Here is an 18,575-nt window from a genome sequence, read left to right as displayed (position 1 = left end):
TCTTTCATGTGTGTTCACTTAGGCAATGTTCTAAGTTCAAGAAATATTACAGTGAGACAAAATTCATCATTTTCTAAAAATCCTTATATTGAGGGTAAGAAAGATGTAAAAAATTAAAGAAATAAATAACATGTCAGGTGAACTATCTACGAAGAAAAACAATTTACAGTAAAAAAATAAAGAGTGTCGGCACCTTAGAATGGTTCTCTGATGATATGATATTTGTTCATTATGATTCAGGGCATCCCTAGTAAAACCTAGCAGCAGTGGAGAATGTTTGCCGTGGGTCTAACATAACTTTAAGAATTCTTCATATAAAACTCATTTAATCTTGCTAGCAATACTATGAAGGCATTTTTTCCACTCAAAGATGAGAGAACTGAGTTACAGAGAAATTAAATAATCTACTCAAGTTCACTCAGCTAGTAAGCAATAGGGCTGAGAATTGAACCCAAGCACTCTGACACCAGATCAAAGATTTTAATCACTATACCAGACAACTCTCAACTGAGGGAGTTCATATTTTATATTTGCCTCAGGTGATTCCAGTCCTAACAAAAGTTTGGGAAATAATACCTTCCTTTACGTAAATCACTACATTAACTACATTAAGTCATACTTGGAGTGCGGTGATGGTGTACAATAATCAAGAAGTGGACAAGGCCCTTTCTCAGGAAATGGGAAAGCTTGTTAGTAGAAGATACATAAATATCACAGTCTAATTCCCATTGTGTGCACCACAGCACTTAATAATTTGTGCAAATAAGCTTTAGTGAGTCTTCCCCAGTAGACTGCTAGCTCATCAATTGCCCAGGTTTGATGCTTTCCATTGTTTTTTTAATCTCAAAATCTGGCCCCTTGCTTGACAAGGTGAAGAGGAAGTCAGTATTTTAATGCATGAATGGGAATGTTCTTCTTGCTGTCCTCCTTCTCATCTTAGCAATGATGAAAAGAAGGGACAATGCGTGTTCCAGAACAAGTGTGCTAACACAGGCTCTAATGTTAGTGTAAGGAAGTGTCATTCCACATGGTATAGATTATATAAAAAATTAATGCATTTTAAACGTTGGGTTGGGTTGCCAAAATATTGACATAAAATAAAATTTCAGTAACAGGGTTACTGGGAGGGAAGAAAAATCTTTTTGTTTGAGATTTTCAGGGAAAGACTATGCCTCTCTGTGATTTAAAAAAGAAAAGATCTTGAGGGGATAAACTCTTCTCCCACTGAAGTCTCAAATAGCTGAGAATTTAGTGCTTTTTCTATCCTCAGGCTTCTCAAAACCTGTATCTACTAGAAACGTGTATAAAAAAAGAAATAGACAGAACCCTAATTTGTATCAGTGTTAAGTGCTTTGATATATTACCTCTGAAGCAAATTTCCTTTTTAAGGTAGAAAAGTCAGAGGAAAATCAAATAGGCACCTTAAATAAAAGGTTAGTAAGGAAAAATAAAATAAAAGACAGTAAGTTAGAGTTGACCAAAACTGCTGCAGGGCTTCCCATTCGTATTCCAGTGGCTTCCTTAAAGGAGCCTTTGTTAACAGATGACTGACATGGATTTGCATTTCATTTCCTTGGAGGCACAGAAAAATCCTAAACCATCAGTTATTTTAGAGTGTAGTGATTGATCAATTAATAATTGAATTCACAATGACATAACATAATCTCAGTTCATTGGAATACTTGATGAACAGTCAAAATATTTTTCCAGTGGATTTTTAGACGTTATTGCCAATTACCCACAGTAGCACAGGGACTGAGGAGCTTTCGCAGGGATATTTCAGTGAGCAATTGGCTGTTTGGGTATGACAGCTGGAAGAACAAATAATCCTCTCTTAACCAAAATAAAATTTATTTTTTACAAAAGGAGATATTCCATATTAACAAGAGATTTGATGAGTTAACAAAGTAAAGACATTCATAAATAAAATGCTGGAGATTTTAGACCTGCTTCATGCATAAAATTGTGGGACCTTTAAACTCCTATGTAGTATATTTTTTGAGGCGACCTATGTTCAGAGACCATAATGTGAATCATTCTTGAAAGATGTCTTATTTCATCTACTACACAATGAACAGATCTCTGTTTTTGCCATTGAGTTTCTTTTTTTGCATTTAGTTCAGTTGTATCGACGTCTTTTTCTCACTTTCCTTTTCCCCTTTACCTTCTTTGTTTTCTTTACCTTTGCTCTTCTCATTTCTTTGCTTGCTTAAAGTTTAAATATCTCAGGGTTGAGTAGTATCCTTTACTCTCCTTATGGCGTTGAAGAATTTTTTAAATCGTCTATTTTATCAATAACAATGTCAAACTAAAATCTCTCCTTTGGCTAAGGAGTTGCCACAGCACAGGGATGCATCAACATCTGGTGGCTGTTCTTCAACCCTCCATCATCGTCACCGTGGTCATGTCATTTTAAAATTCTATTCTGCTTTCCAGTACTGGGATGAGTGTAAACTGATGCTTTAATCCGCTGCACCCTCTGAGATTCAGTATATACTAACTCAATTTTGTTTTCATTGTTCAGATCTGTGCAGAGAAAAAAAAAATCATAGGCTTTCATTGAGCTTACTTCCTAATAGAGGAGAGTAGCAAAAATCAGAGACACAAAAATTAATGGAGATGTAATTTGCTGTTAACGATTTTTTTTTTTTTTTTTTTTTTTTTTTTTTTTTTGAGACGGAGTCTCTCTCTGTCGCCCAGGCTGGAGTGCAGTGGCGCAATCTCGGCTCACTGCAAGCTCCGCCTCCCGGGTTCACGCCATTCTCCTGCCTCAGCCTCCCGAGTAGCTGAGACTACAGGCGCCCGCCACCACGCCCGGCTAATTTTTTGTATTTTTAGTAGAGATGGGGTTTCACCGTGTTAGCCAAGATGGTCTTGATCTCCTGACCTCGTGATCCGCCTGCCTCGGCCTTGTTAACGATAATTTTTAAAAAGGCCTATGAAAGAAATTAATGGAATACGATACCTACTCTTGGAGTTAACAAAACCTCTTTGGGAAGAAATGATATGTAACTCAAGCCTTATCTCCTAATATGTTGAGTGTTTATGTCTGGAGTGGTGTCTGGCGAGGTCTCCTCTCTGTTTTCAAGCTGGCTTTTTGTTTCGGCATTCTCTGTAGAGGAGGAGTGCTGTGTCTTCAAATGGTCCAAGGATCTGAAGGGCAAGAGAGAGCTCCCTTCAACCTCAAGCCCTTTTATGAAGGTGCTAATTCTATTCATGAGGGTGGAGCCCTCATGACTCAATCACCTCCCAAGGCCATGCCTCTTAATACTGTTGTATTGGGAATTAATTTCAAAATAAATGTTGGAGAGTACATCATGATTCAAACCCTGGCATTTCACAAAAGAGTGTGCTCTATTTTGTTCAGATGAAGCATCACACAACAGCTGCATAATGCTAGACTTGCTCAAGAAAGCTAAACTTACCAAAAACTACCCAGGAATTAGTAGTATCTTGTCATTGAAATCTTAGATATAAATAGATACCTATAGATTAGATATAGATATTGGTATAGATGTCTAGATATAGATATGTACTGACACCTGTAGACTGGAGTTAGTGTCCTCATGATTAAAATAATCTCATATTCATGGAATCATGTTCTTTGAGAAAAAGAGGCTCTACATCTGTATTGACAATCAATGCATATGCAGAATAATACAAAAGATTTTTCTTATATTACTGTGTAAAGACTTACATAATATCAGGTTAGGTTAGTTTTAAATTTCTGGAGTTCCTTTTTCAAACCAATATTTAATCCAATAAAATAATATGCACTTACAAAAACAGAATTGACAGATTAAACTTAATTGCCTAGTGATTAAGTATGCTGGACATGTTGAAACCTGCAATTAGAGCTTGACATTGATCTAATATTTGTGGATGTTTTTGGAAATGCTACCTTTTCAGGAAAATTAACAATTCTCTCATTGAATGAACTCACATATAAAGAAGTAATAATTTCATGTAAGTCCAATTCTAGGTTAAACTTATTCAGAGTATACTTAAGCAAATAAGTTATAATTTGATTAAACTACAAGTCAAATTCCCATGACTCATACTTTTTGGTCAAAGAATAAAAAGTAATCTGATAACAAAATTTAAAATGATATATTTGAAAATTATATTTATATAAAAGTGATGAACTGCAAATGTCAAATTGAAGGGTAAGGTAAACTTAGTCTTAACATTTAAGACTAAGGTTTCAAAAAATTGTGAAATTTCCAATTTTTCTCTCACTAACAGCTCTTTCTTCTAATATCCAAATACTATAGTACCAACTATGTCTGCCTGACTACAAGAAATCTTTGTTCCTTATTGAATCATTTCTGATCCTGAGAATTTCTGAAAATGCCAGGGAGTATTTTGAAAATTTATCTTAATTGTCACCTGTCGCTTTTAATTTAGAAGAGTTTTTCATTGTTTTCTGCATACTATTTCTGTAGTACAAAAAATCCTCCAAGATATTTTAGTTCCACTCCTAGATACACTTATTTTCCAAGTGTGCTTGGAAGCTGTTTTCTTTGATTCTCAAAAGCACAGTCATAAGGCTGAACTAATCAAAAAAATTTGATTGATAATATGAAAATAATAGAAAATCAGTGAAGAGATTCATTTATAAAAAACATGTTATTTTGCTTTGTTGAGGGAACAAACAAATCATATTGGCTTAAACAAATGGAAACTTGACAAAAATATAAAATGACTCGTTTTGGACATTGTACCACAGGCTATGCAAGACTGTGATTCCCAATAGAAGACAAACCAAGTAATATAAATAACATGATTTCCCTAGATTATCATTTGGAGGCAGTGACCAAAAATCAGACCGAGAGCAGACACCCAAACAGAGTCTTACAATAACCTTGAATCAAGGAGACAAAAGTTGAAGTTGGAACATGTCAAATTGGCTAGCATTTGTAGGATAGAATGCCAGGCAGAAGGGAGCTGCAGAGAGAAAAAGAGAGAAGGATGTGCAGAGGGATGCCTTCATTGTTTGGATAAATGTTTATATGCACATGAGTCCATTTGTAGGAAAATCAACAACAACAACAACAAACAAAATGAATAAATCGTCCAACAAATATAATCCCCTGGCTGAAATATGAACTTTAGCAAACATTTATAGAAGAAAAGGTATGAATTCTACACAAAATATTCCACAAAATAGAATAGAAGGAAATAATTCTCAATTCATATTATGAGGGCACCACTACTCTGACGCCAAAACCAGACCAAAACATTATTAAAGCAAATACATACAAACATGTAGATTGACTTTATTCATGAACATACATGCAAAGACCTGTAACAACATATCAACACACACAATTCAGGAATATATAAAAAGGATAATACATACTTGGAATGGAAGAAAGGTTTCACATTAAAAGGTGAAATGGATAATTGTTTATCATAACAGTCCAGTAAAAGAAAAGAAATATTCATGATCCTGTCAATTATGTGCAAGATGTATTAAATATTTGAAAATTAGCAAAATCAATCTAGGATAAAAACTCTTAGCAACTAGGAGGAAGAATTTTTGCTAATAATGCTACCTATAAAAATTCTACTGTCAATGTCAACGTCAACGAACAGTTCAACCTAGAACTATACTTTAATTATTTTTTTTCTTTTCCTCTTTTCTCCCTAGTCTCAAGATATAAACTTGAATGTTACTACAGAAACCCCCTTCTTTTTTTTCTCTGTAGTGTTGGAATACAGCTTTGAAATATATTTTCTTTGAAAATTACAATCTTCCTTTTCTCACCATACACTCCCTTACAACATACACATTTACCTAACTATATGCTTGTATCGAATTATGTGCTTCTTAAAAGTTCTGGGGGCTAATCTTGAAACAAACCAGGCATAGAGACCTAGCTGCATTATCCTCCTGCTTAGGTGGAGTTATGAAGAGTTAGTCCACCACTACAAGGACAAAAATGAGATGACACCAACCAGACCTCTGGATGGGCGATTACCTAAGATAGCCATCAGAACAAGACACACAGACCTGCACCCTCCTGCACCACCCATGTTTCGCACCCCAAGTTTTCTTTCTTAAACCCCTTCATTAAGCCCCAAAAGCTGGAATGATCTTTTAAAGACGTGAGCCTGGCCAATCCTTGACTACTAGCATTTGATTAATAAAACTGCTTTCCTTTCACGACACGTTGCTTCTCATATGGTCAGCTTCTGAGCAGTAAGTGGCCGGACTTGAGCTAGGTAGAAATTTGGTGCCCCATTTGAGGAACCGTCTGGTTCAAGCAGCTTAGCCTATACACATGGTTTCCAATGAATGGAACCATTGGCTGCAGCCATGTACCAGGGCTTACCCATTCATGCTACCAGGTGGGATGGCAGCCACTTGCAAATGCCAGTTGCTGGTGGCCTGGTGACCCCCTTGCTGGGAACTCAGGGAATTCCCAGCAGCTGTTGAGAGTGCTTTTGGCTCAGAGATCGTCCCTTCTCTCCCCTTCATGGCATCACCCACTCCAATATTCTGTCAGTGTAAAAAAAGAAACATCTGAGAAGTTGGCAGGCTCTCAGAACTAGGTAAATCAACTAAAGTGCACCCAGAAATCTTGTCTCTGCCATCTGGGCTCTCTAGCCATCTAGACCTAGTATATGTCATCTGTGGTGCCATGTGGACTTAATGCAGGTCACTCTGTGGTGCTCTCTGAGTTTGAGGTTAAGATCTCAGGACTTTGCTTCAGTCTCCCCTCTTTCAGAATCAGTTTGGAGTGCTTCATCTGCATCAGATTCATCTGTATTTATGTGTCTGTTTAGTGTTACCCCCACCCTCCAAGGGTGCTTTGGCATAGTCTCCATCTCACTGGCCAAGACCAGGTCCATCTGATTGTCAGAAGGCAGCAAGAGAGGCTGTCTCTCTCCTAGTTAGGGGAGAAACAGTTTCCAAACTCCTGGCCCTCATGTTGTCATCCTCTTTGGGACTCCAGAGTATTCCTTGTATCTATGGCAAGTGTTCTAGGGGAGAAAGCATGTGAACTCTTTTCTAAACTATCTGAAATTCCAGCTAGTTATATAATATGGCTCATTTTTGTGCACAATTTAAACTGATGATCGAATAACAGAAAGACAAATCCAGAGCTCAAATGCTTCGTCTACAACAATAGAGTTAGGTACAGTCTTCTAAAGCTCAGTATTTCTGATTTTTATTTCCTGCCTGATTTGAATCTGCTGTTATTAAGCTACCAGTGTTGAGATAAAATTCATTGTTTCAAGGTTACTTGGAGATTTTGGTTTTTTTATACAGCTCAGTCAGTTCATGCTAAAATAAAAACATTAAAATCTTATTTAAACTTTAAAAAGTAAACAGAAGTAAAAGAAGTTTTAAAATGAAAACTGCCAGTTAAAATGCTGTACCCAAAATTTTGCTTTATGGCCCTCATTGGATCACCTATTAAGCAATGTTTAGCCATTTAGACAGGTCACCATTTTGTCAGAAATAACTTGGATCCAGCTATCTTTTATTGTTCAGTGAGTTTGTGATGCTGTCTCATGGGTAGAGTTTTGAGGAAAAAACTGTTGGATCTTTGTTTGTATGTGTGCATACATGTATAGATACATTTATGTGTCTGTACATGTATTATCTTCTTTATTGTGTCCAGCATCCTACCAAGTTGGCTTATAAATAGATGAGAACTCTTAAATAAGTCCAAATGATATTCAAGGTCACATGAACTTAATAATCTTCAATAAATAAACTGGCTTTAAAATCCCTGATGAGATAAAAATAAAAATATCTCCAGAATTGTCAGCATACATTTTGTCTGGATAAATAAGTTTTATATTTGCCTGTGCTAAATGTTTTCAGGTTGACTCTATAAACCCAGCCAAAACCAATAATCTTCAGCGTTTTTATGATAAATAAGTCTAATTTCAAATTACTAGTTCAATGAAAAGAGACAAAATGCTCATATGTTTTAAGTTTCTCAGGTGAACATTTAATGCTCACAGACTTTAAAAATGGTTAACAGAAAAATAATTTAATGACTAAAAATAACTTTAATGACTAGATTTGTGTAATATCTCATTTTTCAAAAGTAATCTAAATCTAAGCTTAAATTTTTTTTTAAATTGAATACACGTAAATGAAATAAATGCTTGTAAATGGACTTCTTTGTAATTTAAAACTAAAATTCTTTTGGATGCTCATTGGGTGTCTGGGTTATTTACAACTTTAAAAAAGTTATAATGTGGGAATATATTTCTAAAACTTCTCAGATTGTTGCATCTACAAAATATTGAAATCTAATAAACAGTTTAGGAATTCTTGCTTCCTAAGTTTTCACTAAAATTTAAAGTTACTAAAAATAAACATTCTAGTTAATGTATAATTCTATAAATTATGTTCTTATTGAGAAAAAATATTTTTATGTAACTTGAGGGTTATTTATAAGTTATTTATGAAAAAGGTAAAAGAAATCAGTAAGTAGGGGAGAGAGATGTGAATAAAGTTATGAATATGATTATGTATTTTTGGTAAGGAGGGTTATAAAGAAAAAAGTATAATTTTATATAGGAAAGTGTATTATGTGGTGAATTTTGTCCTCAAGAAAAATAATTATTTAGGAATAAGGGAAGTATAGGACAAGTTAGAAAGTCCAATTGTGTCATAAATAATCTGTATAAGCTGGAATAACTTTCATGAAGAGGAGTTTATAAAAGGAGTTTTGAACGTGATTAAGTTAGTTATAATGAAAAGGGAATTATTTAAAATAGTCTTCTAAAGTTTAGTCCCCTATGTTCAAATAATGTTTTCTTAAGGTATTGATTTACTCTTAATACAATCATAAGAGGTTTTGATTTTAATTCTATAAACTATTTCTTTTAAAAAGTTATCAGACTCATATGTTAGAAATTCAACTTTTATCGTGCCTTGCTGTTTTCAACTTTGTCTCCCTTTAAAAGGGCCTGAGATAAAACTCTCGCCTTCAGCTTTTTAGCTAGCTTCTCTAAATTTTTGCCTCTGGTTCTGACCATTATTTTGACCTGATGCTGAAATATTTTTATCTTATAGGTCAAAAATGTATAACTTAATTCTATGCTCTTGGCTTTTCTTAATAGGTCTAAATTTTCAAAGTAATCAGAAAACTTGTCATGCTGTTACCAAGAGTCCTGTGTTCCACTGCTCAAGGTACCCATTTTCCTTTCTCTTGTTTCGTCTATAATATAAGGTTCACTCATAACCTTAAACGTACTCTTCCTGTGTCCAATTAAATTCAACCACTTTTTAAATCACGTTTGACTTCCTGGTTATCTAAATGGATTTTCCATAAGGAGAGGCAGTCACACTGCAAAACGATTTTTTTTTATTTTTTTGTTTCCTTGGTAACTTGTTATGAAACAAAATTTATACTTTATCAGGATAGGTCCTATACTGTCTTTATTAGAGTTTTAATTGCTTTAAAAAACTGAGATTTAAGAGGCTTAAGGTTTTTACATAGATATAATTTTCTGTGTTGCCTTTAAGGATTTTTAATTATCACTTCAGTTAAATGAGTAGCTACTATTTTACAATGACCCATGGTTCTGTTTTGATCAAATGTTGTAAGCCTTTTAACATCTTTGACAAACGTGCTCAAAATTAAATCCTAAATTAAGTCTCTGATCTATTGCTGGGGTTTATCAAAGTTATAAAAATTCATCACCATGCTCTTACAGAATCTTTTTACAGTTTCTAGTCAGGCCATGTACTCCAGTATCACGCCCTCAAGCCCCTTGAAAAGGTCCTTATAATGTGCTATTAACTAATACTTGTGTTATAAATTATAGGGCTTTGACTTCTGGGTACATGTATCTCATCTAAGGAGGGCGCTGACTCCTGCTGGTATCTGACTCAAACTCAGGCTAACGAAAGTCTTGTCGTTAGACACAGGCAAAGGCAATAATCAAAGTAAACTGCTTTCATGCAATGCAGGGACAGGTCTGTATTCAAAAACATTAAGATTCATTTAATACTTTTGCCTCTATCTAAATTAACATAATTTATTCTATGCCTTAATACTAAATAATGTAAATATTTAGCCACGTATAAGCTTCCTTTTCTGTTATTCTCAAAACTAGGCAGGGCTTATGACATCTTTATTGAAAACTTTGCAAATTCTTTATATTTTGTTTTACCTACAGAATTTGAAACTATTCAATTTCTTCAGGCCCAGGAACCATCACATGAGATTGTAAGGGGCAGTTTTGAAGGATATAATTAGTTCATGTCCTCCAAATCAAGGGCAGGCACACAGATGCCTGAACAGCTGAACAAAATGCTTCTATTTTGTAAAACTAATTGCTACAAGCCAAGATTACAGTAGCTCAATTCATAAAATTTATAAATAAGTCAATTTTGTATCCTTGCCTTTTGGCTTTTAATTTTTGGCTCTAATGTTGTTTAAAATGGGTTTTAAAGGTTAATGCATACTTGCCCTCCTCCATTCCCATCTGTCCTAGAACATGTAATTGAGTATGAGTCTTCTGGCTGTAAGTTCCTTGGCCATAGGGGACCCACCTAGGGCCATGATAGAACCAGGTCAGGCCACACACCACTCTGGCATCGGCATGAGACAAAAATAAAAACTTAGCCATCAGTACCACTACTAGCATACTTTGACAAAAAAGGAGACATATAAACTAAAAAATAAAATCCTAAAGACCCCCAAAGACTGAATTGACTACTGAACCCTGCTCTTGCCCAAAGGGAATCCCAAAGAAACCAGACGAACTAGTTGTGGCCATAATGGGACGTGAGGAGTCAGAGATGTCTCACTATAACTTCCTCCTTTGAAAATTTAGGCACAACTAATCAGCACTAACATAAAAATAAAAATCCCAATACTGACAAAACAGACTCTTTACCACAATAAAAGTCCTACTGACCTGTATGAAAATCATAATGATATTGCAGATCATGGTGCATAGGCAAGAGAGACAATGACTTCTCACAAAAAGCTTTTTCCTAAAAGCACAATTTATGGGGAAATCATTTATTTACTTGATTGCCCGTGTATCTAAACTACTTATTCTCTCTACCAACTTGCCTATTCTGGACATTTAATATAAATGGAATCATACATTATACAGCCTTTTATGTCTGGCTGTTTCCCCTAGCATAATGTTCTCAAGCATATATTGGACCATGTTGAAGCATATATTGGACCTTTTATATTTTTATGGCTAAGTAACAGTCCATTGTATAAGTGAAATACTTCATTATATATCAGATATTATGTATCCATTTGTTAGTTGGTAGACATTTTGGTTGTTTTTAATTTTTATGCTTCTTATAAATAATGCTTCCATGAGCATTCGTGCTCAAATTTTGTGTGGATGTTTGTTTTTAATTATCTTGAGTGTATTGATAGGAGTAAAATTGCTGAGTCATATAATAAACTGTAAAACTGTTTTGCACAGCATTTGCATCATTTTAAATTACCACTGGCAATTTATAACGGTTCCAATTTTCCAAGGAATTGCCAACACTTGTTTTTGTCTGACTTTTTGATTATAGCCACAGCATGGAATATTAAGTGATATCTCTTCTGGTTTTTATTTGTATTTTCTAATGCAATGATGTGGAATATCTTTTCATATGCTTCTTAGCCAATTGTATAGCTTCTTTGTTGAAATTTCTATTGAAATAAGTTGCTATATTTTAATTACTTATTTATTTTTAATTTTTTATTCAAATTTTATTTTAGGTTCAGAAAGTACATGTGCAGGTTTGTTACACGGGTAAATTGTGTGTCACCGAGGGTTGGTACACAAATGATCTTGTCACACAGATAGTGAGCTTAGTACTTGATAGGCAGTGTTTCACTTCACACCTCTCACTGTCCACCCTCTTGTATTGTGCCTGTTGTTTCCACCTTTATGTCCTTGTATACTCAATGTTTCGCTCACACTTAAAAGTGAGAACATGAGGTATTTGGTTTTCTGTTTCTGAACTAGTTCACTTATGATAATGGCTCCCTGCTATATCCATCCATGTTTCTGCAAAGGACATGATTTCATTCTATGCGATAACTGCAAGGTATTTTATGATGTATTTGTACCATATTTTTTTCATCCAGTCCATCATTGAAGGCTACCAGGACTTTGGTTGATTCTATGTTTTTACTACTGTGAATGGTGCTGCAACAAACATGTGAGTGCCTTTGTCTTTTTGGTATAAAGATCTATACTCCTTTGGGTATATACCCAGTATTTGGGTTGCTAAGTTGAATGATAGTTCTGTTTTAAGTTATTTGAGAAATTTCCAAAATGCTTTCCACAGTGGCTAATTTATATTCCCACCAACAGTGTATAAGTGTTCCCTTTTCTTCATAACCTTGCCATTGTCTGTTTTTTCTTTTTTTTTTTTGACTTTTTAATCATATCCAGTCTGATTGGTGTCACATGCTCCCTCTGGGTGGTTTTTATTTGCATCGGTCTAATGATTAGTGAGGCTGAACATTTTTTCATATATTTGTTGGCCACATGTAGGTCTTCTTCTGAGAAGTTTCTGTTCATGCCTTTTGCACATTGTTTAATTTGGTTATTTGTTTTTTGCTTGTTGAATTTTTTAACTTACATATAGATTCTAGATATTAGACCTTTGTCTGATGCATTTGTGAATATTTTCCCCCATTCTGTAGGCTATCCACTTTGTTTGTAGCTTCTTATGTTGTGCAGAAGCTCTTTAGTTTAATGAGGTCCCACTTGTCAATATTTGGTTTTGTTGTAATTGCTTTTGGGGACATAGTCATAAATTCTTTGACAAGACTTATGTCTAAAATATTACTTCCTAGGTTTTCTTTTAGGATTTTTATAATTGGAGGTCTACACTTGTGTATCAGGTTGAGTGATGAGGTTACGCCTTTAAACCAGTCCCACAGACTCTCACAGAATAAGTGTTCCCTGTGGCTCTGAACCACATTGTGGACTGGAGATAGGCTACAGTGTGCATGTGAAGTAGGAGTCATGAGCTTGAAACAGGGGTGGATGGGGAAACAGGTTGTGTTCCTGCCTATGTAGGATAGGAAACAAGTGCAGCTTCCCAATCCTGCTGCAGAGACCTCAGTGCACTTCACCAGGAGCCTCTCTCAGCCACCCTCATCAGGGCTAGTACCTGTGCTCAGCACTGAAATATCTATGGGCAAGCCGAGGGCTCCAGCATGGTCCAGCTGTGTCCCCTGTGAAAGTGGCCTCAAGGAATAGGAAGCTCAGAGCACCAGCCACCCCATTGTCCAATCCTTCACCGGAAACAAGAGACCACCTCACAGTAAACAAAGATTGGGTCCATACACACCTGATTGTGCGGCAGCTGGCATTTACCTACAAATACAATTTAATGGACTTTAGGTTAGACCACCCAGCTCAATACAAAACCTGCTGACAGAAGTCCACAGGACTACAGAAGGAAAGCCAAAAGACCCTATCCGACACAGCCCTCTCCAGATGAGAAGAAACCAGCAAAGAATTCTGCCATCATAAGAATCTGAATGTTGTGACACTACCAAAGTTTCACTCTAGCAGTGAAGCCATGGTTCTTAGCCAAAATGGAGGCAGAGAGATAACAGATGGAGAATGCAAAGCATGGATTTCAGGGAAACTCAACAAGATCCAAGACAAGGTTGAAAATCAACACAAAGAAAGTTCTAAAGCAATCAGAGAAATAAAGGAAGAGGTAAACATCTTAAAAAGAAATCAAGCAGAGCTACTGGGACTAAAAAACACACTTAAGAATTTTTAAAATACAATCAAAAGCTTTCTCAATAGACTAGATCTGACAGAGGAAAGAATTCAGAGCTTAAAGATTGGTCTTTCAGACTAAGCCTGTCAGACAAAAAAAGGGAAGAGAATTTTTTTTTTAAATGAACAAAGTCTCTGAAAAATATGGGATTAAGTAAAGTAACCAAATCTTTGAATTATTGGCATTCTTGAGAAAAAAGGAGAAAAAGTAAACAACCTGGAAAACATTTGAAGGAATAATTTAGGAAGATTTTCCTAATCTTGCTAGAGAGGTAGACACATTTAAATTATTGCTGAGTTGTAAGTGTTCTTTCTACTTTATAGATAGCAGACACTTACGTACTATTTTTAAATATTTTACCCCATTGTTTTTGTTGTTGTTGTTTATTTTTGACACACAAAAATTTCAGCTGTGATGACATTCATTTTACATTTTCCCTGCCTTGGTTGCTTGAACTTTTGCTGACAGGTCTAATAATGTGGCTAATCAAAGATCACAAGGATTTTTACAAAGATTTTCTTCTAAGAGTCCATATAGCTTATAGCACTTATGTTTAGCTCTTTAGTCCATTTTGAGTCAATATTTACTATATAGTCTATTATGGGGTTCTAAATGTATTCTATTGGATGTGCCTATCCAGTTGTCCCACCACAATATGTTAAAAATTATTTCTGTCTTATTGTTTGGTTTTGACACAGCTATAAAAATCTATTGACTATGGAAGTTGTGTGTCTGTTTCTGGACAGTCAACTTTATTTAATTAATCTATATGTCTATCCCCATGCCAGTTTCACTCTGTTATGATTTCTGCAGGTTTGCAGTTACGTTTTATAAAATACTGCCATCAACAATATTAAGTCTTCCAATCCATGACCACAGGATGTCTTTTCATTCATTTAGGTCTGTAATTTATTTCAGCATTTTGATTCCTTTTTCCTTTTTTTTGTTACTAATGTATAAGTCTTGAACTTCTCTAATTAAATATACTACTAGGTATTTGATTATTTTTATGATATTGTAGAAGGAAATGCTTTCTTGCTTCTATGACTGGATTGTTTATTGCTATTGCACAGAAATACAACCAATTTCTGATTACTGATACTGCATCTTTCAAACTTACTAAAGTGGTTTATTAGCTCTAAAGATGTTTTATGGATTCTAAAGAATCTAGATTTTTAGAATGTTTACTTGGTATCCTTTAATAATTTCCATCACTTTTTAAAAATGCCTTTTAAGGGTAGTTTTAGATTCATAGCAAAACTTAGAGGAAGGTGCAGAAATTTCCTATATACTCTCTACCATTTTATATATGCGCAGCCTACCCCATCATCAGCATTATCCACCAGTGTGTTAAAATTGATGAACTTGGCCAGGCACGGTGGCTCACACCTGTAATCCCAGCACTTTGGGAGGCCAAGGTGGGCTGATCATCTGAGGTCAGGAGTTTGAGACCAGCCTGGCCAACATACTGAAACCCCGTCTCTACTAAAAATACAAAAATTAGCCGGTTGTGGTGGTAGGCACCTGTAATCTCAGCTACTCAGGAGGCTGAGGCAGGGAGAATTACTTGAACCTGGGAGGCAGAGGTTGCAGTGAGCCAAGATCGTACCGTAACACTCCAGCCTGGGTGACAGAGCAAGATTCTGTCTCAAAAAAAAAAAAAAAAAAAAAAAAAGATAAACATACATCAACACATTATTAGCACCAAAATCCATAGTTTACATTGGGGTTTACACTTGGTACTGTACATTTTATGGGTCTGGGCAAAGGTATTACCATTCTAGTATTATTAGGAGTATTTACATAGCCCTAAAAATTTTCTGAGCTTACTTTATTGATACTGGTATTTGAGGCATTGTTCTATGCGTTCCATTAGTTCTTTATACATGGTTTTCTTGAGCTCTTTGAACATATTTAAACTGCTAGTTTAAAATTTTTGTCTTTTAAGTCTAATGTTAAGGTTTGCTCTTGGACAATTTCTATTGATTTTTCCCCTTGGCTATAGGCCATATAATTTTTGTTTCTTTGCATTTCTTAATTTTTGTTGAAAACTTCACATTAAATAACATTATATGACAATGCTGCAAATTCCCATGCTCATGCAAAGCAGGTTTACTAATTACCAATCTCAAGAGACGATTCTTACTGTTTGGAGAATAGCAAAGGTCATTATTATGCCAACCAGCAGGAACAAGAATCCATGCACTTATGCCAACTGTATTCTTGACTACTGTTTAGGTCCTCCTTGCACTGCTTACCTATTTGTCTGAGTCCTGTGAGACAGAACACACACATAAAATGAAGCATGTTATGCAAAGCAAGTTTGATACTTACAGATAGGCAGCCAGGGACAGAAGAGGTCTCAGATCCATCATTGGCAGGTCCCTCGAGGCTTAGGCAAGCTGCCCAGGGTAGATGGCGTCTTGACTGCACATGGCCCATTTTGCTCCATATCTGAGAGACTCCAACAAGGCATCCCATCCTGGGTTACGTATGTCAGGAGCCATGTGTCCCACTGGGCAAAGCTGTGGAGGACATTTGGCTTCTAGAGGAGAGAAGAACAAAGCAGTTCTTAACTCAAGATGTCACATTCCTCAGCAAAGAGAGGAACAAGCCCTGAGCTGTTTCAGGCAGTTCTTCCCTATCTCAAGATGTTATATTCTCAGCACATTCTGTGGTTATACTTTAACTACAAGCAAGAAAGGAGAACTTGGCCTGTCTAAGGTCACCCAGATAACTGTCCTGTAGCCTCTGCTTCTTTATTGTTGTTTCTGCTTGTCACAGTAGGTGCTGCTTGTTTGTTTAGTGGCTATTTATAACTAATTCTATATAATCTATATTCATTGTCATGTGTGTCCACTAAAGTCTCTGCTCAGTTAACTTCCTGGTCAGATAATAATTGAACAAAGTTTTCATTAAATCCTTGGAATCAATAAGTCTTTCAGTGTTTGCTGAGGGGCTCTCTGTGTGTCTAGGGACATACCTTTGACACTGAGGCAGGCAGGTTACGGCTCTGCTTCAGGCTTCATTTCAAAACCAGCTGGATGAGAATGTTTAGCGCCTTCTCAGATTCTTCTTGAGGGTGCCTCCCATGGAGAAAAGTATCTCTATTTAATATTTTAAGGGTCTTTATGTGTACTTCATTGGAAACCCTTCCTCTGAAACTCTTTGATTAAGCAATTGTTTGCTCCAACATTTATTCATTGCTTCAGGCTGCAACCACATTAAACGTGTCTGTACATGTTTTTGGCAAATACTCCCTAGGAAGAGAATTTTAGCACCAGCAGGTCTCTGAGTCAGGTCAAGTAAAGGCAAGCATTCAGGTGGGGGTCGTCTAGCAAACTACCAAACAGATTAAATAGTAACAATTTTTAAAGAAATGAATCTTTGAAAGAGCAGCAGCTCCATTTTGCACTCTAGGTACCAGAAATGTGGGATGTTATTTTTCAAAACTGCAGCTGAACTGGGGATGGAAAGATTGGGCTAAGACAAATTAAAATGTGACAAAGTTCACTGTCCTTAATAAGATCCAGCTCTTTTCTTGAATAAGTGCTTCTAGGTTAGTCAATACATAACTGCATAGCTTTAATTAGTTTCCAGAGTTCTGAAAAGTTGATTCTGACAATCTTTGTCATTTTCTGTTTTATCTTTGAAGGGATGATTTTCAGAGTTTCTTACTCTGCCACATTGACTGACATCACCCAGTTTGCTTTTTTAAAGGTATTGAAGTAATATTGTTAGTACATCCTCTAATATTTTATTTTCACCATAAATTTTCAGTAAGACAGAATGTATTCCTATGTCTTTCTGCCATTGGTATTCTACACAGTGGTGTACAGTTAGCAAGTTACCATCCAATTTTGCTTATTAGCAAGCGATTTTGGAGAGGAGAAATGTCATTGTCCATTTATTAAAGAGTTCATAGGTACATTAGAAAGACATGCAAATGTGGATCATGTATCAATAGGCCTAACCATATTTTCCACCAAATAAACTCTGGAAGACGATAGTAACTTTTTTATGTAAAGGAAAATCTGGAATTCTGTGAAAAAGAGCCAAATTAATGTGGTGTGTTGGGTTAAAAATTAAGGCATAGTTACTCTATTACTTTCCTTGTTACATTTATGTGTAATAATTGATGTATTTCTCAGCATTTGGACCACAGGGTAAACAATGGTATCTGGAATTTTGAAGAAAACTGGAGTACTTCACCAGAGAATATGCCTCCATGATATAAATATTTCTGAGGAATGTGTAGTTAAAAAGCAGTAGATACCAAGGGATCCATCTGAGCTACCCTTTCTCACATAGGGCAGGCCATAAAAATTCCTGTGGCAAGGAAGCAAGAAAACTGTCTGCTTCCCATCTGTGTGCCCGATTCACAAAAATAGAAAGTTGTCCTGCCCGCTTTCCCGACTTTTGGCCTACAGATAGAGATGACAATGCTGCTTCCTTTTCATCTCAAAGGTGGCCCAGTGGGGCCAGGGGAACCTGGAAGCAGATTTTACATCCTTCCCACGGTGTCCCGTGTCTAAGAACCTGAGACTGCCAACTCCTTTGTCTCCTCACCATGGTGAGATTTATTGTTCTTTGCTAAAATACTATTTAAGCACAGCTCTTAAGCCACTGAGTTGAGAGAGTTACTTTTTTCCCCCATCATGGGCATAGCACATATTACTAAACCTGCATATTTTTCTCCTGATAGTCTGTCCTTTATTTCAGAAGAGGGTCTCCACTACAAGCTTAAGAGGGTTGAGAAGGATTATATGTTTTCTCCCCTGCAATCTATTAGACAAATTCTAACTATAAAATGTTTTGTACT

General features: G+C 35.9%; 1 long non-coding RNA gene across 2 annotated transcripts in view; it reads right to left on the bottom strand.

Annotated features, from left to right (window-relative positions):
• LOC102725148 (uncharacterized) overlaps positions 1-16,383 on the bottom strand; it is a 28,812-nt gene extending 12,429 nt beyond the window's left edge. For both annotated transcript variants that reach the window (XR_935615.3, XR_935616.3), the window contains exon 1: positions 16,088-16,383. This is a non-coding gene — a long non-coding RNA (uncharacterized LOC102725148). The remainder of the gene's footprint in view (positions 1-16,087) is intronic.
• Positions 16,384-18,575: the final 2,192 nt, after the last annotated feature.

Source organism: Homo sapiens, chromosome 18 (genome assembly GCF_000001405.40).
Source record: "Homo sapiens chromosome 18, GRCh38.p14 Primary Assembly".
NCBI classification, from domain to species: Eukaryota; Metazoa; Chordata; class Mammalia; order Primates; family Hominidae; genus Homo; species Homo sapiens.
This window is presented reverse-complemented; position numbering and strand designations above follow the sequence as displayed.